Source organism: Homo sapiens, chromosome 11 (assembly GCF_000001405.40).
Source record: "Homo sapiens chromosome 11, GRCh38.p14 Primary Assembly".
In the NCBI taxonomy this organism is placed as follows: domain Eukaryota; kingdom Metazoa; phylum Chordata; class Mammalia; order Primates; family Hominidae; genus Homo; species Homo sapiens.
In genome coordinates this window covers 47,177,397-47,199,797 of record NC_000011.10, presented here as the reverse complement: position 1 = coordinate 47,199,797, position 22,401 = coordinate 47,177,397, and the positions used below count along the sequence as shown (strand labels likewise).

General features: G+C 53.5%; 1 protein-coding gene, 1 non-coding gene and 1 pseudogene across 12 annotated transcripts, besides 8 other annotated features; all 3 read left to right on the top strand.

Annotated features, from left to right (window-relative positions):
* Positions 8,139–8,652, top strand: RPS20P26 (ribosomal protein S20 pseudogene 26; annotated as a pseudogene).
* Positions 12,708–13,594: an enhancer, noted in NCBI's record as "H3K27ac hESC enhancer chr11:47207755-47208641 (GRCh37/hg19 assembly coordinates)". NCBI's record gives its function as "activates a minimal SCP1, AML or CMV promoter by ChIP-STARR-seq in primed H9 embryonic stem cells {active_cell/tissue: H9 hESC(primed)}" and the evidence as "EXISTENCE:reporter gene assay evidence [ECO:0000049][PMID:30033119]".
* Positions 12,708–13,735: a biological region, named in NCBI's record as "H3K27ac hESC enhancer GRCh37_chr11:47207755-47208641".
* Positions 13,266–13,365: a silencer, noted in NCBI's record as "silent region_3323". NCBI's record gives its function as "represses an Ori minimal core promoter by ATAC-STARR-seq in GM12878 lymphoblastoid cells {active_cell/tissue: GM12878}" and the evidence as "EXISTENCE:reporter gene assay evidence [ECO:0000049][PMID:35858748]".
* On the top strand, positions 13,364–22,276 carry PACSIN3 (protein kinase C and casein kinase substrate in neurons 3). Of its 11 annotated transcripts, none has more exons than XM_047426857.1 (12): positions 13,364–13,449; positions 15,301–15,497; positions 16,729–16,794; positions 17,034–17,124; positions 17,239–17,395; positions 19,108–19,343; positions 19,457–19,612; positions 20,212–20,387; positions 20,519–20,639; positions 20,768–20,904; positions 21,311–21,432; positions 21,752–22,276. In XM_047426857.1, the coding sequence occupies exons 4-12, from the start codon at positions 17,071–17,073 to the stop codon at positions 21,865–21,867; spliced, it is 1,275 nt and encodes a 424-aa protein (XP_047282813.1). In that variant the 5' UTR covers positions 13,364–13,449; positions 15,301–15,497; positions 16,729–16,794; positions 17,034–17,070; the 3' UTR covers positions 21,868–22,276. The 11 variants fall into 11 exon arrangements, with proteins under 11 accessions (XP_047282813.1, XP_047282810.1, NP_001171903.1 ...); XM_047426854.1 differs by having other exon boundaries at positions 16,989–17,124; XM_047426855.1 differs by lacking the exons at positions 13,364–13,449; positions 15,301–15,497 and adding exons at positions 14,423–14,532; positions 15,064–15,253 and having other exon boundaries at positions 16,989–17,124.
* Positions 13,416–13,735: a silencer, noted in NCBI's record as "silent region_3322". NCBI's record gives its function as "represses an Ori minimal core promoter by ATAC-STARR-seq in GM12878 lymphoblastoid cells {active_cell/tissue: GM12878}" and the evidence as "EXISTENCE:reporter gene assay evidence [ECO:0000049][PMID:35858748]".
* On the top strand, positions 20,061–20,187 carry MIR6745 (microRNA 6745). Its single transcript, NR_106803.1, has one exon. It is a non-coding gene; the product is annotated as a microRNA 6745 (primary transcript).
* Positions 21,792–21,841: an enhancer, noted in NCBI's record as "active region_4690". NCBI's record gives its function as "activates an Ori minimal core promoter by ATAC-STARR-seq in GM12878 lymphoblastoid cells {active_cell/tissue: GM12878}" and the evidence as "EXISTENCE:reporter gene assay evidence [ECO:0000049][PMID:35858748]".
* Positions 21,792–22,400: a biological region, named in NCBI's record as "H3K27ac-H3K4me1 hESC enhancer GRCh37_chr11:47198949-47199530".
* Positions 21,819–22,400: an enhancer, noted in NCBI's record as "H3K27ac-H3K4me1 hESC enhancer chr11:47198949-47199530 (GRCh37/hg19 assembly coordinates)". NCBI's record gives its function as "activates a minimal SCP1, AML or CMV promoter by ChIP-STARR-seq in naive H9 embryonic stem cells {active_cell/tissue: H9 hESC(naive)}" and the evidence as "EXISTENCE:reporter gene assay evidence [ECO:0000049][PMID:30033119]".
* Positions 21,922–21,971: an enhancer, noted in NCBI's record as "active region_4689". NCBI's record gives its function as "activates an Ori minimal core promoter by ATAC-STARR-seq in GM12878 lymphoblastoid cells {active_cell/tissue: GM12878}" and the evidence as "EXISTENCE:reporter gene assay evidence [ECO:0000049][PMID:35858748]".

Here is a 22,401-nt window from a genome sequence, read left to right as displayed (position 1 = left end):
CACCACGCCTGGCTGAGCGTTCCCTTTGAAACAGTGAGGAGGAGAGTAGATTTTAAATAAATGTCAGTATAATTAATGATTCTTCTGCCTGCCATCCAATCACCCCCTTTATCTGGCCCCTCTTACCTTTTTTTTTTTAGACAGACTCTCACTCTGTCGCCCAGGCTGGAGTGCAGTGGTGCGATCTGGGCTCACTGCAACCACCAACTCCTGGGTTCAAGCAATTCTCCTGCCTCAGCCTCCCAAAGTAGCTGGGACTACAGGCACGTGCCACCACGCCCAGCTAATTTTTTTGTATTTTTAGTAGAGACGGGGTTTCACAGTGTTAGCCAGGATGGTCTCCATCTCCTGACCTCGTGATCCACCTGCCTCAGCCTCCCAAAGAAGTGCTGGGATTACAGGCATGAACCACTGCGCCCAGCCTTTTTTTTCCTTTTTTGAGACAGAGTCTGGCCCTGTCACCCAGGGTGGAGTGCAGTGGTATGACCTCGGTTCACTGCAACCTCCACCTTCCAGGTTTAAGCAATTCTCCTGCCTCAGCCTCCCGAGTAGCTGGGACTACAGGTGTGCGCCACCATGCCTGGCTAATTTTTGTATTTTTAGTAGAGACAGGGTTTTTCCATGTTGGCCATTCTGGTCTTGAACTCCTGACTTCAGGTGATTTGCCTGCCTCAGTCTCCCAAAGTGCTGGGATTACAGGCGTGAGCCACTGTACCTGGCCTCCTCTTACATTTTTTAAAGGAAATAGAGGCAAGAGAGGCCTCACTATGTTGCCTAGGCTGGCCTCAAACTCCTGGGCTCAAGTGACTTTCCTGCCTCATCCTCCTGAGTAGCTGGGGCTCCAGGCACACGCTACTGTGCCCAGCCAGCCCCTCTGACTCTTGAAAGATCTTCAATATGAGGATCTCTTCAAACTGCCTCCTATCCTACCAATAAACGTCACTGTTCCCAGCCAGCCACCACCAGGAACACACCTGTAGCTGAAATTTGGGTTTATTGCTGTTTGCAGTGGAGAATGTGTACTGGGGGAATGACGGGACATCTGTCTAAGAGGGTGTTAGAAAGGACTTATTATAGGATTTGACTTGCGTTGGGTGATTTGGAGAAGAGTCGAAGAAACAGGGCTTTGCTTTAAATTGGAGGCTGTCAGGAAGTGGGGGTAATGCTATAATTTTTTGTTGTTGTTGTTGTTGTTGGGACAGAATTTTGCCCTTGTTGCCCAGGCTGGAGTGCAGTGGCACGATCTCGGCTCACTGCAACATCCGCCTCCCGGGTTTAAGCAATTCTCCTGCCTCAGCCTCCTGAGTAGCTGGGATTACAGGCATGCGCCACCATACCCAGCTAAATTTTTGTATTTTTAGTAGAGACAGGGTTTCTCCATGTTGGCCAGGCTGGTCTCGAACTCCTGACCCCAGGTGATCCGCCCGCCCCGGCCTCCCAAGGTGCTGGGATTACAGGCATGAGCCATGGTGCCTGCCCCTTAAGATTGGTTATTGAAGTGGTTCAGAGCATGCCACCCCAAAATATGCCACTTTAGCATACTGATTATATATTGGGCTGAAGGCACAAGAGAAACAGCAGATACAGGAAAGGATCTCTGACCTCTCCCTTTCTACCTAAAAGAGGTCATAAAATTTCCCATAGGAAAGTTTCCTTACCTAAACCAGGAAGAGACTGAGAACCCATGCCCAAATGGATCTGTACAAACAAACCTACTAAAATAAGCCTTATCTTCCATTACTTTCCTCCATCTATTTCCTAGTCACTGTCTCACAATTTACTGCCCCTAGTTCAAGCCTCTTTGTCTTGTCACATCCCCACTGTGCCCAGTTGTGAACAATTGACTGTTCTTTTTTCTTTTTTTTTTTTTTTTGAGACAGTCTCCCTCTGTCACCCAGTCTGGAGTGCAGTGGCACAATCTTGGCTCACTGCAACCTCTGCCTCCCGGGTTCAAGCGAGTCTCCTGCCTCAGCCTCCCAAGTAGCTGGGATTACAGGCACATGCCATCATGCCCGGCTAATTTTTGTATTTTTGTAGACACCAGGTTTCACCATGTTGGCCAGGCTGGTCTTGAACTCCTGACCTCAGGTGATCTGCCCCCTCGCCTCCCAAAGTGCTGGGATTACAGATGTGAGACACGGTGCCTGGCCCACAATTGATTGTTCTTTGTGTAAAAAGGTAAGGGTATATAAGCTTTTGAGCCTAACAGCTTCTTTGGGTCTTCATTTTCTTTCTGAAGTCTCCCATGTACACGCAAAAATATTAAATAAAATTTGTATGCCTGGTTGGCCATGGTGGCTCACACTTGTAATCCCAGCACTTTGGGAGGCTGAGGCGGGCAGATCACGAGATCAGGAGATCAAGACCATCCTGGCCAACACAGTGAAACCCGGTTTCTACTAAAAATACAAAAAATTAGCCCGGCGTGGTGACGCTCTCCTGTAGTCCCAGCTACTCAGGAGGCTGAGGCACGAGAATCGCTCAAACCTGGGAGGCAGAGGTTGCAGTGAGCCGATATGACGCCACTGCACTCCAGCCTGGGCGACAGAGCAAGACTCCATCTAAAAAAAAAAAAAAATTGTATGCCTTTCTTCTGTATATTTGTCTTACATCAGGTTTTTTTTTTTCCTCTTTTCTTTCTTTCTTTTTTTTTTTTTTTTAAGACAGGGTCTCAGTCTCCCAGGCTGGAATGCCATGGCACAGTCAGCTCACTGCTGCCTCAGCCTTCCAGGCTCAAATGATCCTCCCACCTCAGCCTCCCAAATATCTGGGACCACAGGCTTGTGCCACCATCGGCTAATTTTTAAATTATTTTTGTGGAGATAAGGTCTCACTATGTTGCCCAGCTAGTCTTGAACTCCTAGGCTCAAGCCTCCCGCCTCAGCCTCCCAAAGTGCTGGGATTACAGGTATGAGCCACCACACATGGCCAGTTTAATTCTTTTTTTTTTTTTTGAGACGGAGTCTCACTCTGTCACCCAGGCTGGAGTGCAGTAGTGCAATCTCGGCTCACTGCAACCTCCGCCTCCTGGGTTCGAGCAATACTCCTGTCTCCACCTCCTGAGTAGCTGGAATTACAGGCACGCCCCACCACGCCTGGCTAATTTTTGTTTTCACGATGTTGGCCAGGCTGGTCTCGAACTCCTGACCTCAGGTGATCCACCCGCCTCAGCCTCCCAAAGTGCTGGGATTACAAGCATGAGCCACCGTGCCTGGCCCAGCCAGTTTAATTCTTACACTCAGCTACAGAACCTAAGAGGGTAAAAGGAAGTTTTTTTGTCCTCCCGCATCCTGTACCTTAATTAATGTTATCTATAAGGTGGGAGGAAAGAAGCAAAACTAAAGTTGTGATTGGCAAAGCAGCTGCAGTGAATCACATTGGCTAAAATAGGGAGATATTTGGTCATTTTTGTGTTTTGGACCATGTTCATATTTTTGCCTGTGTTCTGACATGAGTGATGATTTTTTTTGTTTGTTTGTTTGTTTTTTGAGACAGAGTCTTGCTTTGTCGCCCAGGCTGGTGTGCAACGGTGCAATCTCAGCTCACTGCAACCTCCGCCTCCCCGGTTCAAGTGATTCTCCTGCCTCAGCCTCCTGAGTAGCTGGGATTACACCCGACCTCAGGTGATCCAGCCACCTCGGCCTCCCAAAGTGTTGGGATTACAGGCTAATTTTTTTATTTTTAGTAGAGACGGGGTTTCACCATGTTGGTCAGGCTGGTGTCAAACTCCTGACCTCAGGTGATCCGCCCTCCTTGGCCTCCCAAAGTGCTGAGATTACAGGCATGAGCCACCTTGCCCGGCCCCATGCATATCTCATACCTCCATGGCTGCCACCCTGTTCATCTTCTGTGGTCATCTGACCCCGTACCATCTACCGCAGATACTTCTTAATTGGATTTCCCTGCTTTTTCTCTCTTTCTAATCCATGAGTCAGGCCAGTTTTTGTGTAAGGGGCAGATAGTAAATATTTTAGGCTGTCTGAGCCATATGATTTCTGTCGCACCTACGGTACTAACTCTACCATTGTGGTGTGAAAACAGCCAAAGGCAATTTATAAATAAATGAGTGTGGCTGTGTTCCAATCCAACTTTATTTGTAGATGCCAAAATTTGAATTTCCTATAACCTTTGTGCGTCACAAAATAGTCTTCTTTTTATTATTTTTTTCATCAATTTAAAACGGTAAAAACCGGCCCAGTGCAATGGCTCACGCCTGAAATCCCAACACTTTGGGGAGCCAAGGCAGGAGGATCACTTGAGCCCAGGAGTTCAAGACCAGCCTGAGGAACACAGGGAGACCTTGTCTCTGTAGAAAAAAAAGAAAGGGTGCAGCACACCAACATGGCACATATATACATATGTAACAAACCTGCACGTTGTGCACATGTACCCTAGAACTTAAAGTATAATAAAATAATAATAATAATAATAAATAAAAGTAAAAAAAAAAGAAAAAAAGTAAAAACCAGTCTTAGCTGTGGGCCATATAGGCCATGGTTTGCTAATTCCTTGCTCTAATCCATTCCTCATGCAACATCCAAAAAGGCCATTCAGTTCCCTCCTCTGCTTAAATCCCTCCAAGGGCCCCCTCTTGCACTCGGAACAGAACTCACAAAGCCTGGTAGTGTCTGGGTGCTGCCTGCCTCTCCCACCTCATTCTAGGCCTCTCACCCGCTCATTCACCGTGCCCTGCCCACTCCACCCTTCTGACCTGGAAGGTCAAGTTCTCATGTAAGGACCTTTTCATACATCAGTCTTCAGTTGTTCCGCCTGGAATGCCGTTCCCTAGGTCCCCTCTTCACCTTCTTAACTTCCATTTGTCTTCTGGGTCTTTTTGGGTGGAGGCTTAAACTCCCTGAAGCCACACTCCCACTATCCTCTTCCAGCACACTGTCCCTTTTTTTTTTCCTTCAAACACTCATGACAATTGGTAATGATGTTTTTGGACCTTTATTTGATTTCAGTGGAAAATTCCATGAAGTAGACATCTTGTCTGCTTTCTTTTTTTGTCTTGAGACGGAGTCTCGCTCTGTCACCCAGGCTGGAGTGTAGTGGCGCCATCTCAGCTCACTGCAACCTCTGCCTCCCCGGTTCAAGCAATTCTCCTGCCTCAGTCTCCTGAGTAGCAGGGACTACAGGCGTGCGCCACTATGCCCGGTTAATTTTTGTATTTTTAGTAGAGACAGGGTTTCACCATGTTGGTCAGGCTGGTCTTGAACTCTTGACCTCAAGTGATCCACCCTCCTCGGCCTCCCAAAATGCTTGGATTACAGGCGTGAGCCACCGCACCTGGCCTGCTTTCTTCGAATTAAGGACTGAGCACCCAGCCTGGTGTTGGTCACACAATGGGTGCCCAAGTGCACCAGGGTAGGCTTCTGGAGCAGGAGCCTCCCGGCCAACAGAGCTGAAACCCGGAGTACACAATGGCAACTCCTGGGGCGTCTCCTGCTGAGGCGGGGACCAGCTAAAGAATCTGCCTGGGGCAATGGCAGATTCCCGGAACTACCGGTTCCTCCCCTTTTTAGACTATATAGGGTAACATCATTTTTTTTTTTTTTAATAGGGTAACTTCCTGACCCTGGAGAAACTTTCTCTATAGGCTGCACTGTTGAAACCTGCGATTCATTTTCACCCGAGTGCCATCGGTCTGCCTTGGTAACCTATAAACAGCCTGCCCCACTGAGGTTAACTGCTCTCAATAACTGGGACCAGTCTTTACACGGGACTGCCTGAGCTCTGAAAAACATAGCTGTGAAATTAGAATACTTTACTCAGCTGCCTGTCAGGAATCCTGGGGCAATGTCCAGAGGCCACGGAGGGAAACTCACAAAGCAGCCTTCAGAGGAGACAGCCCTGCCTGCAGCACTTAGCCGGCTCTGATCTACTCTCGGCAGGGTGGCCAGAGTTATCATTAAAAAGGGGAAATCTGGCTGGGCGCCGTGGCTCATGCCTGTAATCCCAGCACTTTGGGAGGCCAAGGCAGGTGGATCACGAGGTCAGGAGTTCAAGACCAGCCTGGCCAAGATGATGAAACCCCGTCTCTACTAAAAATACAAAAATTAGCCATGGTAGCAGGCATCTGTAATCCCAGCTACTTGGGAGGCTGAGGCAGGAGAATTGCTTGAACCCGGGAGGCGGAGGTTACAGTGAGCCAAGATTGCACCACTGCACTCCAGCCTGGGCGACAGAGCGAGACTCTGTCTCAAAAAAATAAATAAATAAAATAAAAGGGGAAATCTGATCTACCTACTCTCATGGACACTTCCCACTGCCTATAGGGTAGCGTCCAAATTCCCTAGCCCACTTTGCAAATCTTCACCATCCAATCCCAACCTATCTTTCCAGCTTCATCTTCCATCTGCTTCTGTTACCAGAAAGGTGTCCTGATCCAGACCCCAGGAGAGGGTTCTTGGGTCTGGTGAAAGAGAATTTGAGGCGAATCCATAGAATAAAGTGAGAGCAAGTTTATTAAGAAAGCAAAGGAATAAAGCATGGCTACTCTGGCCAGGAACGGTGGCTTATGCCTGTAATCTCAGCACTTTGGGAGGCTGAGGCAAGTGGATCACCTGAGGTCAGGAGTTTGAGACCAGCCTGGCCAACATGGCAATAACCCGTCTCTACAAAAATACAAAAATTAGCCAGGCATGGTGGTGCACACCTGTAATCTCAACTACTTTGGTGGCTGAGGCAGGAGGATCGCTTGAACCCAGAAGGCAGAGGTTGCAGTGAGCTGAGGTCGCACCACTGCACTCCAGCCTGGGTGACAGAATAAGACTCTGTCTCAAAAAAAAAAAAAAAGCTACTCCACAGGCAGAGCAGCAGCAAGGGCTGCTCACCTAAGAATACCTTTTTTTTTTTTTTTTTTGAGACGGAGTCTCGCTCTGTCGCCCAGGCTGGAGTGCAGTGGCGCTATCTCGGCTCACTGCAAGCTCCGCCTCCTGGGTTCACCCCATTCTCCTGCCTCAGCCTCCCAAGTAGCTGGGACTACAGGCGCCCGCCACCACGCCTGGCTAATTTTTTGTATTTTTAGTAGAGACGGGGTTTCGCCTTGTTAGCCAGGATGGTCTTGATCTCCTGACCTCGTGATCCACCCGCCTTGGCCTCCCAAAGTGCTGGGATTACAGGCGTGAGCCACTGCGCCCGGCCCTAAGAATACTTAAGTTATTTTTTGATTATATGCTAAACAAGGGGTGGATTATTCAGGAGCTTTCTGGTCAAGGGGTGGGCAATTCCCGGAACTGTGGGTTTCTCCCTTTTTTAGACTACATAGAGTAAATTTCTGACATTGCCATGGCATCCGTAAACTGTCCTGGCACTGGTAGGAGTGTCTTTTAGCATGCTAATGTATTAGATTTAGCGTATAATGAGTAGTGAGGATGACCAGAGGTCACATTGCCATATTGGTTTTGGTAGGTTTTGGCCAGCTTCTTTATCGCATCCTTTTATCAGCTGGACTCAGCATGCCTAACCTCCTTGGAATGCAGCCCAGTAGGTCTGAGCCTTATTTTACCCAGCCCCTATTCAAGCTGGAGTCTCTCTGGTTCAAATGCCTCTGATACCTCCACCCCATCATGACCTCATTATTCTAGAGATTCGAGACCTGCACAGTCCAATACAGTAGCCACTACTCACATGTAGTTGTTAATTTTTTTTTTTTTTTTTTTTTTTTTTTTTTGTGACAGGATCCCACTCTGTTGCCCAGGCTGGAGTGCAGTGGCCCAATCACTGCTCACTGCAGCCTTGACCTCTCAGGCTCCGGTGACCTCAGCCTCCTCAGTAGCTGGCACTACAGGTATGTGCCACGACACTCAGCTAATTTTTCTTTTTTTTTTTTGACATAGAGTCTCGCTCTGTCATCCAGGCTGGACTGCAGTGGTACAATCTTGGCTCACTATAACCTCTGCCTCCTGAGTTCAAGCAATTCGCCTGCCTCAGCCCTGCCCTGAGTAGCTGGGACTATAGGTGCATACCACCATGCCAGACTAATTTTTGTATTTTTAGTAGAGACGTGGTTTCACCATCTTGGCCAGGCTGGTCTCGAACTCCTGGCCTAAAGTGGTCCTCCTGCCTCGGCCTCCCAAAGTGCTGGGATTACAGGCATGAGCCACCACGCCTGGCCTAATTTCAAAATTTTTAAATTGGAGGAAGACGCGGTCGTAGGTGCTGTGAGTCTCTCGTCCGCACTCTCCTGCTCCTGACTCACTGCTGTTCACTCTCGCTGAGGAAAAAGTCGGTCAGGAAGCCACGCAGCAGCCATGGCTTTTAAGGATACCGGAAAAACACCCGTGGAGCCGGAGGTGGCGATTCACTGAATTCGAATCACCCTAACAAGCCGCAACATAAAATCCCTGGAAAAGGTGTGTGCTGACTTGATCAGAGGCGCAAAGGAAAAGAATCTCAAAGTGAAAGGACCAGTCCGAATGCTTACCAAGACTTTGAGAATCACTACAAGAAAAACCCCTTGTGGTGAAGGTTCTAAGACATGGGATCGTTTCCAGATGAGAATCCACCAGCGACTCATTGACTTGCACAGTCCTTCTGAGATTGTTAAGCAGATTACTTCCATCAGTATTGAGCCAGGAGTTGAGGTGGAAGTCACCATTGCAGGATGCTTAAGTCAACAATTTTAATAAATTGATTACCAGTTGTTAAAAAAATTTTTTTTTAATTAAAAGTTTATGTTTTCTCTTTTTTTTTTGAGACGGAGTTTCGCTCTTGTTGCCCAGGCTGGAGTGCAATGGAGCAATCCCAGCTCACTACAACCTCCGCCTCCCAGGTTCAAGCAATTCTCCTGCCTCAGCCTCCTGAGTAGCTGGGATTACAGGCATGAGCCACCATGCCCGGCTAATTTTGTATAGTAGAGATGGGGTTTCTCCATGTTGGTCAGGCTGGTCTTGAACTCCCAGCCTCAGGTGATCCACCCAACCTCGGCCTCCCGAAGTGCTGGGATTACAGGCGTGAGCCACTGCACCCGGCAAGTTTATGTTTTCAATAGCCACATTTCAAGTGCTCAACAGTCTCATGCTACTAGTGGCTATCATATTGGCCAGCACAGCTATAGAACATTCCCACCACTGCAGAAAATAATTGGACAGCACTATTTTAGATACAAATACCCACTCGCCCACCCCCCAGTTTTTAATTTTAGTTACATAATTTACACATAGGTACATTCTCATTGTAAATTTTCTAACATTACAAAAATGTCCCTTACCAATTCTAGACCTCTGCCTAAAGATAAACGCCAAAATCAGTATGAAGTATATTTTCTGTGAAGATTTAGTGTGTTTTGCATTTTGCTTTTTTCCCTTGACATCGTCTTGGAGGTCTTCTTATAAGAATACATCTCTTGGCTGGGTGCGGTGGCTCATGTCTGTAATCCCAGCAGTTTGGGAGGCCAAGGCGGGTGGATCATGAGGTCAGGAGTTTGAGCCCAGCCTGACCAACATGGTGAAACCCCGTCTCTACTAAAAATACAAAAATTAGCCAGGCGTGGTGGCACGTGCCTGTAATCCCAGCTACTCAGGAGGCTGAGGCAGGAGAATCGCTTGAACCCGGGAGGTGGAGGTTGCAGTGAGCTGAGATTGCGCCATTACACTCCAGCCTGGGCGACAGAGCAAGACGCCGTCTCGAAAAAAAAAAAAAAAGAATATGTCTCTCTCTACCTTGTTCTTTTTTTTTTTTTTTTTTTTTTTTTGGTTTGTTTTTGTTTGAGATGGAGTTTTGCTCTCGCTTCCCAGGCTGGAGTGCAATGGCGCAATCTCAGCTCACTGCAACCTCCGCCTCCTGGGTTCAAGCGATTCTCCTGTCTCAGCTTCCCAAGTAGCTGGGACTAAAGGCACACGCCACCACACCTGGCTAATTTTTGTATTTTTAGTAGAGAAGGGGTTTCACTTTGTTGGCCAGGCTGGTCTCGAACTCCTGCCTCTAGCTTGTTCTTGAGTTTTTGCAGAGTAATCCACAGCATGAATGAACTTTAGGTTGTTCAACTATTGCCTTCATGATGAACATTTGTTTTCAGTTCTCCCCTGTTGCAAACAGTACTATATGCAAACATCATTGTACCTCTTTCTGCATTTGTACATGTTCGTCCAGGGTAAATACCAAAAAGTAGAATTGCTAGGTCACAAAGTCATATGGTAACACCCCTGGGGCTTGGCACACCCTGAAGCTCCTGCCTAGAATGCCTGTCCACGTGACTAATTCCTACTCATCAAGACCTATCAGTGTCATGTCCTGTGAAAGGCCGTCCCTTCTGCCTGTTTTCTCTCAATACTTCCTATCTGCCTTGCATCATTACGGTACACTTGGACTCTGCCTTATTTAACTTTGTACTCCCAACATTCCTAGCATAGCCTTAGCATGGAGTAAAAACTCAAGTGTTTTCTTGGCTGGGTGAATGAATGCATAAATAAACAAATGAAGGCACAGTGGTTAGGATATTCCAGAAACTCAAGGTGAGTCTGTGAGTGGCGTGAAATCTGGCTATGGACCAATCTGCCCATTGGTACCCTGAGCCAAATGCCTTGCTAGATTTGTCTTTTTTTCTTTTTGAGAGAAAGTTTCCTTCGACCAGGCTGGAGAGCAGTGGCGCAATCTCAGCTACCTAAGCCTCCCGGGTTCAAGCAATTCTCCTGTCTCAGCCTCCCAAGTAGCTGGGACTACAGGCGTCCACGACCACGCCTGCTAGTTTTTTTGTGTTTTTAGTAGAGATGGGGTTTCATTATTGGCCAGGCTGGTCTTGAACTCCTGACCTCAGGTGATCCACCTGCCTCAGCCTCACAAAGTGCTGGCATTACAGGCGTGAGCCACTGTGCCCAGCCTTAGATTTCTGTCATTTTTTTTCTTTTTCTTTTTGAGATGGAGTTTTGTTCTTGTCGCCCAGGCTGGAGTGCAATGGCACGATCTCAGCTCACTGCAACCTCCACCTCCCAGGTTCAAGCGATTCTCCTGCCTCAGCCTCCTAAGTAGCTGGGATTACAGGCACCCGCCACCATGCCCAGCTAATTTTTGTATTTTTAGTAGAGATGGGGTTTCACCATGTTGGCCAGGCTGGTCTCAAACTCCTGACCTCAGATGATCCACCCGCCTCGGCCTCCCAAAATGCTGGGATTACAGGCGTGGGCCACCGCGCCCGACCAGATTTCTGTCTTTATGCAGCCCTCTGTCCACTGACATCTCATCTTGAACTCTGGGTTGAGGACAGCACTGATGGAGCAGTGTGGATGTTAAGGGCTCTGGCCATAGAGCGCAGAATGGGAGCCCTGGGGGTAGCATTAGCTTGGAGCTGGCTTTCCAAAGGCATGTCTGTCTACTTTCAGCTTAGAAGCAGCCCCCTATGCTCTGGGTTTTATTTTGTTGTTTTTTTTCCCCTACAGTACCTCAGGGGCAATTAAGATCAGCTGCAACATTTCTGCTTTCTGCTCCCAGACTTGAGCCCAAGGGAAGCCAGATGTTTTCCAGTCCACATCCCCTTCTCTTTGTGGTCTGATGAACAGCCCTGTTTTCTGAGTCTCTCTATGGCCTGGCTTTCCCAGATCCCACAGCCTGGCTGCCAACTTTATTTTTAATGAGGTTTTAATAGGTGGCTCCTGTAATTAATTTCATTCTTGTGTTTTCACACTTCGGTCTAGGTGCCTAAAGGCCTTCAGGCGCTAGGAGGGATGTTAACTGATTTTAAAGAATACAAAACCCTGTGGCTGTGATTTGCCATTTTCCCAGCTCCTCTGATCTGCAGTTGTTTTTTACAATCATTAATTAGCTGGGGCTCATGGCTCAGCGGAAGGTCAGCTGGTCACCTGTCATGTTTTATAGAGGTAGAAATAGAGATAAGGGACTTGTCCAAGCCCTAAGAGAGAGTGGGTGTTGAAATTGGTCTCAGAAACCACATCCCAGGTTTCAGATTCACTACTCAGCTATGATTTGCCAAACACGGCCAGAATCCTCAGGCCAAAGGTGGCGCGCCTTGGGTGCCCCACAGGTGTCTTGGGGAGGCAGTTTTACCCTTCCATTAGCACTGCCCAGCAAGTGAGCCCTCGGCAGGCAAAATTACCCCCATTCATTTTCTCCAGGTCCCTTTCCCGTTTTGTGAGCGGATTCATCTGCGTAAAGAACGCGTCAGTGATTCCTCCTGGATTTAGAAACAACATAATTTTGCTATTTTTAAAGCTGCCGTTTAAAACTCCGCGCGCACGCACTCACACTCTTCAGGGAGCTGAGGGTGGGAGGAAAAGTACGAGCTTCAGAGGGCGCAGCCAGGCGCCTCAGCTTCCCAGGGCTCAGAGCCGCGTCCCTGGGGGCGCACTCCTCTGAGAGCGCCGGGGCTCTCCGACCCGCTGCGATTCTGCGCGCCCGGGACCTTCTGCGTCCGGGACCTTCTGCGCCCGGGCGTTCGACCCCGTTGGTCCGCGCTCCCCCTGGTCTTCAAGGCTCAGGGCACCGCCGCTGGGTCACCGGGCCCAGGAGAGAGTGGGAGGGGCGGAGAGGCCGAGCAGGTGGCGATTAGGTCAGCTTCGGAACATTCTTGGACCGCTCCAGTGGATATAAATAACAGACGGAGCCGCTCTGCAAAATCTCACCCCCGGGGGAAAGCGGGGAGAGGGAAGTAGGGAGAGAGGAGGGAGAAGGGATTTATTTAGCGTGGGGTGGCATCGTGGCGATATGGAAAAATGTACCAGACTGATAAAGGGGGTGGAGGGGCGAAGGGTAAGAATGAATCGTGGTACAAAATCTGGAAATAAGAACTCGGAGCGGGAGGAGCTTAGGCCTTTTTGTCCCACCCCCACCGCGTGTTCGTCTCAGGCCTTAGAAGGCGCCCCAGATTAGCAGGGCAGCTGTGGAACGGTAGGGCACGGTTTTGGAGTCCCAGCCCTGCCTGACTAGAGGGAAATCTTGGGCAAGCCTCTGAAAAGCCCCCGAGCCTCAGTTTTTGCATCTGTACAGTGGGAATCCTAATGCTTACAAGGGGTGGTTGTGAGCCTCGCCTGAGCCAATTTCTAAACAAGCTGTGCAGCTAAAAATGTAAGGCAGTGTAATTCCCCCGGCCCCTCTCCAAGGCTGCCCGTGCCGGCCCGGTCCCTTCTTGCTCCCTCGGGTCTCCCAGGCTCTGCAACGGTCCGGGAGAGGCAAAGCCGAAATCTGGCTCCCTGCGGCACCGGGGCGCAACCCTGGGGAGCCCGCCCAGGCACTCCGCACACGGGCGAAGCAGAGAAACCTCGACCCGCGCCACAAGAGCCGCTGGTCGCCGCGATGCCTGCAGCCCCGCTGCCCCGCCGCGTGGGGTTGAGGCAGCGGCGGCCAGGAGAGGGGCGGGGCCGGGGGCCGGGGGCCGGGCTTCCCGGGGGAGGGCCCGGCGCGCTCCGGGAGGCCGCGGCGCGGGCCCAGGAGCGGCAGGACTCGGGCCGGAGCGTGGCCGGACCCCCACCCGCCGAGGGGCCCAGGGAGGACGCGGTGAGTGCCCTGGAGGGGACGCGCGGGTAGGCGGCGGCGGGTGCGGTGGCTCGAGCCCGCCCTCTCCTGCTCCGGCTTCTGAAGTTTGCAATGGAGCCGACTCCCGCCCAGGGAGCCCCCGGCCACCCCGCTCTGCGTGCCGACGGGAAGGGCCGTAGCCGCGCCGAGGGGCCGTCCCATCTGCGGTGCCGCGGGCTTCGCAATTCCGCAGGCCGCCCGGGGGAGGCGGCGCCGGCGCTGGAGGGCTGAGCCGTCTTCAGGGGCCCCTCGAGGGCCCCCGTCCGCTCGCCTCGCGCCCGCCCCGAGGCCCCAGAGGGTCCTCGCTCCCTGGCGATCCCTCGCCCTATGCAGCGAGCCCCGATTCCTGGGTCCGCTGCCCGGGGCCACCATCTGGAGCCCACGGCAAGGCCGGCCCAGGCAGGGGGCGTCCCCTCCCCTTGGCGGTGATCAGTGGCCCCACCCCCGCCAAGACCAAGTTCAACAAGTTTGGCCAAGAAGTCTAGAGCTTCGGTGGCTAGGCCTGGCCCTGCCGCTCCGCGTGGCTCCACGGGCTCCGAGTTATGCAGCTCCGGGCGGCAAGGGGTCCTGTCGAGGGGCGCGGTCCATAAGGGTTGAGGCCAGAGGCGCGTAGCCTCTGGGCGCCGAGCTCTGGAGTGGAGGCTGGGGTTCGGAGTGCGTCATCTGGAAGCAGGCACCCCGGCCGGCAGGTCGGGTTTCCAAAAGTGCCCCTTTGTTATGCCCCTCCCTGGCCCTGCCTCCTCCCGCTTTGGCTGCGCCACCCCCTCCCCCAGCCTCCTGATCTCCTGGCTGGCTCTGGCTTCTGGTTCCAGCCCCTCTAACCTCGCTGTCCCTCTTCGGACCAGCCTACTGACGCCCCCTCCCCTCCCCCCCGCTCTGTCCTCAAATCCTAGAGCTGCGGGCGCACCGGGAGGGGCTGCCCGGGAAAGAAGCCCTTGGGCGCAGCCTGTGACTCAGGTTCCAGGGATGGGCCAGGCAGAATGGCTGAGCTCCCTCCCAGGGGCAAGCCCCCAGCTTCTGGAAGAGGTTGGGGCTGGTCTGGGGCCGGGTACCTTCAGGCCTCAGGTAGGGAGACTGGGTCTTCCCTGAACCAGGGACTTCCTACCTTGGCCCGTGCAGCTGCAAGGAGACCCTGCCAAGCCCAGGAAGACCTCTCGGAGCCGAACGTGCTGGCTCCCGGGGCTGGGAAGATTGCATTACCTGCTTTCTGAGCTCTTGCCTGCGGTGGGGACTGATTTGGGTCTCTGCTGAGCTCAGGAGGCACAGGGTGCCAACCTGCTCAATGGGGGCCAAGGTGCAAGCCCTCCTTGCTTGCTTGCTGAGAGGTCAGGCTGGGGCTGTGGGGCCTGGCTGCACCCGGGGCTTGGGCCTGTGTTTGCTCTGGGAGGCCGGAGGGAGCTGTGCCAGCCCGGTACACACAGCTTGCTCTGTTCTGGGGCCAGAGAGAGGGAAGGGGTGGGGGGCAGCTCTCTGGGGAGCAGGGAACTCGGAGGCTGGAACAGGCAAGGGGCCCCAGGCTCCTGAGGCTGGACTGGGGCGGCTCCAGAGCCCTGTGATTCATGGCAGCAGCTCTCTTTCTCTCCATCGCCCTGTCAGGTCCTTTCTGGGCAGACAGGACACACTGCAGAGGGAACCAAGTGACGAGCTTGTGAGGCCCCTGGTGGGCACCTCCATTGCCTGGGTCTCCGCGGAGCCCCTAGCTCTGTCTCCTGTTAGCAGAGGGGGAAGCCCACTTGGACCAAGCATTCCCACAGCTGCTGGAGCGGGCGCGTTTCCTGCGCTCCAGGTGGACATCGCTTCTTTTCTCACTTAACTAATTATTGCTGATTCCAGCGCGTGGGGACACACAAATCAGAATCCTGGAAGCCTCTGTCGGTGACTGAAGATAGACACTGTCCTGTCAGCCACAACTCCATGGGTTATACACCCCGGCTGAAGGGTCACCCGGGGCTACAGGAGCAAGGACAGAGAAACAGGGGAAGTGACTGAGGAGAAGATGCCTTAATTGGAGGTTTGAAGGAGAAGCAGAGGTGCATGAGTTTGGAGGAAGCGCTGTGACAGCGCCCTGCTTTGGGGACAAAGGGCGCACACTGTCCTCCTGGGTCTGGCTGTGTCCCTTGGGCCTGCTCAGAGAGGAAGCGATTTCCTTCTAGGGTCTGTGAGTCAGTCAGTGCTGGGGACAGCTGAGACCCTGCCCAGAGGCAGGAGGGGAGCAGCCACATGCCACTGTGTCCTTGAGTCCCTGGGGCCATGGCTCTGGGGTTGGAATTGGCTTGCCGTCCTCTGCGATTCTAGGGAACTTTTTTTTTTTTTTTTGAGACAGTCTCACTCTGTTGCCCAGGCGGTGGTATAATCTCTGCTCACCGCAACCTCCTCCGCCTCCTAGGTTCAAGTGATTCTCATGCCTCAGCCTCCTAAGTAGCTGGGACTACAGGTTCCCGCCACCACGCCTGGCTAATTTTTATATTTTTAGTAGAGACGAGGTTCCTCCATGTTGGCCAAGCTGGTCTGGAACTCCTGACCTCAGGTGATCCACCCACCTCAGTCTCCCAAAGTGCTGAGATTACAGGCGTGAGCCACCACACCCAGCCTGGGAGACATTCTTATAGTTGGCCATCGCTTCTCACTTCCCCATGCTGCCCTGGACGCCAGGCCTTTGGAGGGCAGGCCCGGGTTGTGTGTTCCCCACGGAGCCTTGCGGGCCCTCAGTGGATGTGTGGAGTGAGATGAGTATCTTCCGTGACTGCAGGGCCCCTCGTATTTCTGGTGCGTTGCTTGGTTTGAGTTTCACACCAGCCCTGGCATGGCAGCTGAGCACACAGAGGAGTTCCATCTTAGAGGGAGCTGGGGCCTCCTTAGGAGGAGACAGTTACATACACTTGTTCGGGCTTCCTGGCCAACACAGAAGCCAGGCCTCTTGGTTCCCTTCGTGCCCTCCTCAGTACAGGGAGCTACTGGGATGTGGCCAGGCACCCTCTGACTTGGCCTCTCGGGTAACAGGGTTGTCTTGTCACTCAAGGGAAGGCAACAGAGGCCCTAGCCTGGGCAGGAGTCCTCTCATCGGCAGTTGGGGGAGTGGGGCCTTCTGCCCACCGCCCACCCCCGCCTGCCATTTAATCCCTGGCTGGATCGTGTGACCTGCCTGGCATTCTCCTCCCTGGAATCCGGCGCTTCTGACAGCAGTTGCTATATTGGGGGTGCCGGGCACCGCCCTGGACGCTCTAGGCCCCCACCCTCACCCCCGCTCTGTTCTCCTTCAAGGCAGAGTCACGGTGGCAGCATTGAGAGTTGGACACCCGGGTCCTTGAAGTGATCTCTAGGCCCCAGGTATGTGGGGGGGCGGGGGGGGAAGTGCAGAGCAGTGAGAGGAAGAGCTTTGAGACTCCATCCTCACCCATCCTGGCCCTTCTTAGGGTCTTCAGCACCCTGCCTGCTAAGTCCTAGCTCTGATGACTCCTTGGGTGGTGGGGATGGCAGTGGGGCGAGGCCCAGGTATAGAGAGGGTCTTTTCCTATCCCCAGAAACATAATGTCCAGCTTTCCTGCTTACCCCTCTGCCCTCCACAGCCCCAAATCCGCCACCATTCCGTGCTGCGGGGACACCATGGCTCCAGAAGAGGACGCTGGAGGGGAGGCCTTAGGGGGCAGTTTCTGGGAGGTGAGCAGCTGGGTCCTGGGCTCAGCTACTTGTCTAGGGGAGGAGCCCATCTGACAGCCCCAGCCCCAAAGGAAGCTTCTCCCTGGTGATGGCACCCTTTTCCTGTATGCCCAGGCTGGCAACTACAGGCGCACGGTACAGCGGGTGGAGGACGGGCACCGGCTGTGCGGGGACCTGGTCAGCTGCTTCCAGGAGCGCGCCCGCATCGAGAAGGCTTATGCCCAGCAGTTGGCTGACTGGGCCCGAAAGTGGAGGGGGACCGTGGAGAAGGGTGAGCCAGGCCCTCGCAGGGGGCAGAGGGCAGCTGAGTGCAGGACTGTCGGGCCAGCTTCTTTTTGCACGTCTCGTGGGAAGTTTGAGGCCTCCACGTCTACCCTCCCTTAGAAAGGGAAGATCCTCCTGGTCATCCTCATGGCTGTGGTGTTATTAAAGTTTATAAAGGATGCTCATGAGTTACTTTGATAGTTGCAACAACCCTGTGGAGATGGTTGTTTTACCCATTTTCTTTCCTTTCTTTTTTTTTTTTTTTTGAGACGTTTTGCACTTGTTGCCCATGCTGGAGTGCAGTGACATGATGTTGGCTCACTGCAACCTCCGCCTCTCAAGTGGTTCTCCTGCTTCAGCCTCCCAAGTAGCTGGGATTACAGGCACCCACCACCACGCCTGGCTAATTTTGTATTTTTAGTAAAGACGGGGTTTTACCATGTTGGCCAGGCTGGTCTCAAACTCCTGACCTCAGGTAATCCACCCACCTCAGCCTCCCCAAGTGCTGGGATTACAGGCGTGAGCCACTGCATCTGGCCTTCTTTCCTTTGTTTATTATTTATTTATTTTGAGACAGGGTCTCACTCTGTCACCAGGCTGGAGTGCAGTGGTACAATCATGGATCACTGCAACCTCTCCCTCTCCCACGCTCAACTGATCCTCCCACCTCAGCCTCCTGAATAGCTGGGACCACAATAGCTGGGATCACAGGCATGGACCACCACACTTGGCTAATTTTTGTATTTTTTGTAGAGATAGGGTTTTGCTATGTTGCTCAGACTGGTTTTGAACCCCTGGGCTCTAGCGGTCCTTTCTCCTTGGCCTCCCAAAGTGCTGAGATTACAGGCGTGAGCCACCGTGCCCGGCCTGGATTACAGGCATGAGCCACCGCACCTGGGCCTGTTTTATGCATTTTCTAGAGGAGAAACTGGAAGCTCAGAGAGGCTAAGGGACTTGCCTAAAGGCACACAGCTAGGAAGTGCTGAAGGTTGAGCCCAGGCCCTCTGACTGGGAGCATGGATCTTTCCACCCTGCAAGCTGTCTTCCTCGAGGGCACACACAGGCTCTTCCTTTGAGGCAATGGAGTGTAGTGTTTACACAACAGAGATGGGTTTGAATCTCAGCTCCTCTTTTTTTTCTTTTTTTTTGAGATAGAGTCTCGCTCTGTCACCTAGGCTGGAGTACAGCGGCGTGATCTCAGCTCACTGCAGTCTCCCCCTCTCGGGTTCAAGTGATTTTCCTGTCTCAGCCTCCCAAGTAGCTGGGACTACAGGCGCCCGCCACCATGCCCGGCTAATTTTTTGTAGTTTTAGTAGAGACAGGGTTTCACCGTGTTAGCCAGGATGGTCTCGATCTCCTGACCTTGTGATCCACCCGCCTTGGCCTCCCAAAGTGCTGGGATTACAGGAGTGAGCCACTGTGCCCGGCCCTCAGCTCCTGTTGTAGCCATAATGCTTTGGGCGAGTTCACATCTCTGGTCCTCAGTGTTTTGCCTGTTCAATGTTGGCAATGTCGCTGTCCTCACGATGGTGGCTGAGACAAGGAGTCAGTGAGATAAGGCACATGGTCCTCATTCAATAAGCCCAGCTGACAGGGTTGTCATTCACCTTTGCACCCCATGCGCGTACCCCATGCCTCCATGCCTCACACCCAGTGAGAGGGGCTAGGCTCATTTTGGGTGGTACCCAGGCCTGGCCTAAGCCCTGTCCCTCCCTGCAGGCCCCCAGTATGGCACACTGGAGAAGGCCTGGCATGCCTTTTTCACGGCGGCTGAGCGGCTGAGCGCGCTGCACCTGGAGGTGCGGGAGAAGCTGCAAGGGCAGGACAGTGAGCGGGTGCGCGCCTGGCAGCGGGGGGCTTTCCACCGGCCTGTGCTGGGCGGCTTCCGCGAGAGCCGGGCGGCCGAGGACGGCTTCCGCAAGGCCCAGAAGCCCTGGCTGAAGAGGCTGAAGGAGGTGAGGCTGGGTGGGGGAGGTATCCGAGACAGGCTCCTTCCTGTTTGTTTGCAAGGGATCGAGGGGGCCAAGGTGTGGCATCCAGGGTCCAGAGTGGTCTCCATGCATGCCAGGTTGAGGCTTCCAAGAAAAGCTACCACGCAGCCCGGAAGGATGAGAAGACCGCCCAGACGAGGGAGAGCCACGCAAAGGCAGACAGCGCCGTCTCCCAGGAGCAGCTGCGCAAACTGCAGGAACGGGTGGAACGCTGTGCCAAGGAGGCCGAGAAGGTACAGGCCACAGGTCCCAGCCCTGGCCCCCGCCCAGGGCACGGCTTCCTGAATGAATCTTGCTCCCTGAACATCTTGTCCAGTCCCCAGCACCCTTATTACCCTATTCCTCACCTGCCACCCTCTCTCCAGATGATCATTTAAAGGAGGAACCTGACAAAAGGTGATGCTTTACTAGGGAAAGAAATGGAGTTTCAGGCACTGGGATGACTTCAGCAGTTGAGAACTTCCAGCTCTTTTCCTTGCACAGTACCCTTTGCCCGAAGTGTCCTTTCCTGCAGCTCTGGATATGCAAATCCTCCCCATCCTGAGATGCTGCAGTTTCCACCTCCTCCAGGAAGCCTTTTCTGATTTCTCCCATCCTTTCCTGTAGGTTGACCTCATTTCAATCCTCACCAGACTCTTTTATATGCTGTGCCTGATGTCACCTCCCTTGTTAGGCTGCTGGGGTCCTTGAGGGCAGGAGCTGGGTCTTGGGACTGATTGCCCCTAGTGGCTAGCCCTGGGTCTAGCAGCCTATGGCAGTGTCTGGTAAACACTGGTGGAGTCCTGGGTGGAAGAAGGTCTGGTTCTCACCAGGCCCCTCCTCTCCCACCCAGACAAAAGCTCAGTATGAGCAGACGCTGGCAGAGCTGCATCGCTACACTCCACGCTACATGGAGGACATGGAACAGGCCTTTGAGACCTGCCAGGCCGCCGAGCGCCAGCGGCTTCTTTTCTTCAAGGATATGCTGCTCACCTTACACCAGCACCTGGACCTTTCCAGCAGTGAGAAGTATGAACTGCCTGGTGGGCATGGAGATCTGGGGTAGTACTGGGTCTCCTCCATCTCCCCGAGGCCCTGGCTGGGACTGAGGGATGCAGGGTCTAGACTTCCTAGACTGAGGGGTGTGCCTTGGGTCATAGGTTCCATGAACTCCACCGTGACTTGCACCAGGGCATTGAGGCAGCCAGTGACGAAGAGGATCTGCGCTGGTGGCGCAGCACCCACGGGCCAGGCATGGCCATGAACTGGCCACAGTTCGAGGCATGTGTTCCAGGCGGGGTGGGGATGGGAGGTGGGATGGGCTCCCACTCAGCTCGGCCAGGGCTAGGGATGAAGTAAGTGAAGGTGGTTCAGATGGCCCCACCTGACTATAAGCACTGTCCCCACAGGAGTGGTCCTTGGACACACAGAGGACAATCAGCCGGAAAGAGAAGGGTGGCCGGAGCCCTGATGAGGTTACCCTGACCAGCATTGTGCCTACAAGAGATGGCACCGCACCCCCACCCCAGTCCCCGGGGTCCCCAGGGTGAGAGCCAGGAGCGCGGCTGTGGCAAAGAAACAGCTCTGCCTCCCGCCCTCCTTTCCTTTCTCCTTGGTTTCATTTCTTTCACACCTGAAATGGGTTGAAAATTGGTGCCAGGGACCTGAGGGCCTACTTAGTAGTTGTAATGATACTGGTTCTCATAGTGGTTTAGATTTGCTGGGCATTTCCCACATTCCCTCTCGTTTATGCCTTAAATCAGCTGCGTGTGGCAGGAATTGCCTCTTTGCTCACAGTCGGGCATGGCGAGGTAGAGCTAGAATCTTTAGTACCTCACCTGACTCTCCCAGGTGCCTCTGGGGGTAGGGAGGCCTTTGCCCTGATCCTGGGTGAGATCTCCAGCCCCGTGTTCCTTGCACTCTGAGCTGCTCCCTTTGCCTCCCCTCTCCAGCACGGGGCAGGATGAGGAGTGGTCAGATGAAGAGAGTCCCCGGAAGGCTGCCACCGGGGTTCGGGTGAGGGCACTCTATGACTACGCTGGCCAGGAAGCTGATGAGCTGAGCTTCCGAGCAGGTACCCTGGGACCCCTTTCCTAGCTTCAGCCTCTGCCTTATCTGCCTGAGCAGGGGTGTCAGAAAGGGAAGCCAAATACCCACTTCTTAAGGGCCAGTCCTCTGTCCCTTCAGCTGTTCCAGGTCCAGATAGCTGGTGCCTGGTGGCTGCATTCAGGGTCTGGGGTGGGGCAGCTTGCTGACCTTGACCTGCCTCTGCCTGAGCCATGTCTTTGCTAGCTGGGCTCTGGGACCACACCATCCCCCTCAGTCCTTGACCCAGTTGCAGGAACAGGGCCTGGGCCAGGGCCACTGGCAGTGACCAATCCCCTTTCCCCCAGGGGAGGAGCTGCTGAAGATGAGTGAGGAGGACGAGCAGGGCTGGTGCCAAGGCCAGTTGCAGAGTGGCCGCATTGGCCTGTACCCTGCCAACTACGTGGAGTGTGTGGGCGCCTGAGTGTCCTGACAGCCCTTCTGCAACGTTTACCCACCCTGGTTCAGAGCCCAGCTTCTCCTGGAGAGCCGGACCCTCAGGGCCCTGAACCGTCGCTCTCTGGCTGCTCCTCTGTCCCTTGAGGGAGGAAGTCCTGGGACCCAGGGAGGGGAGGGGCCTTTGTCTAGGGAAGGGACTGGTAGGGAAGGGACGAGTCTAGGCTGAGGGCAAGATGGGAGGTCAGAGGTGACAGAAGCGTTCAGGGGTGCCTGGGCCTCCCCAGGAGCTGTGGACTCAGTTCCTGACCTCTGCTTTGGGGTTCCTGGGGTGGGCTTGGGGTGAGTGTAGTTCTGGCCTAGCAGCACCCTCTTGTGGCTTGTTCTAGCGTGTATTAAAACTTGACACACACCCACACACAAAAACAAAAACACCACTGTCGGGCTCATGTGCATTTTTTTGATAGGACACCCTTGCCAGGCCACCAGAGGGCATCTAGAGAGAGGCCTAGCGTCTGTTATGGGGCCGGGGTTGGAAAAGGGTTTGCCTGCTTGGTACCTG

Coding starts and splice junctions, on each gene's coding strand:
- PACSIN3 (XM_047426852.1), top strand. CDS start 16,996: ATGTCCAGCTTTCCTGCTTACCCCTCTGCCCTCCACAGCCCCAAATCC. Junction 17,396..19,107: donor GAGGGGGACCGTGGAGAAGG/GTGAGCCAGGCC, acceptor CCCTCCCTGCAG/GCCCCCAGTATGGCACACTG. Junction 19,613..20,211: donor GTGCCAAGGAGGCCGAGAAG/GTACAGGCCACA, acceptor TCTCCCACCCAG/ACAAAAGCTCAGTATGAGCA.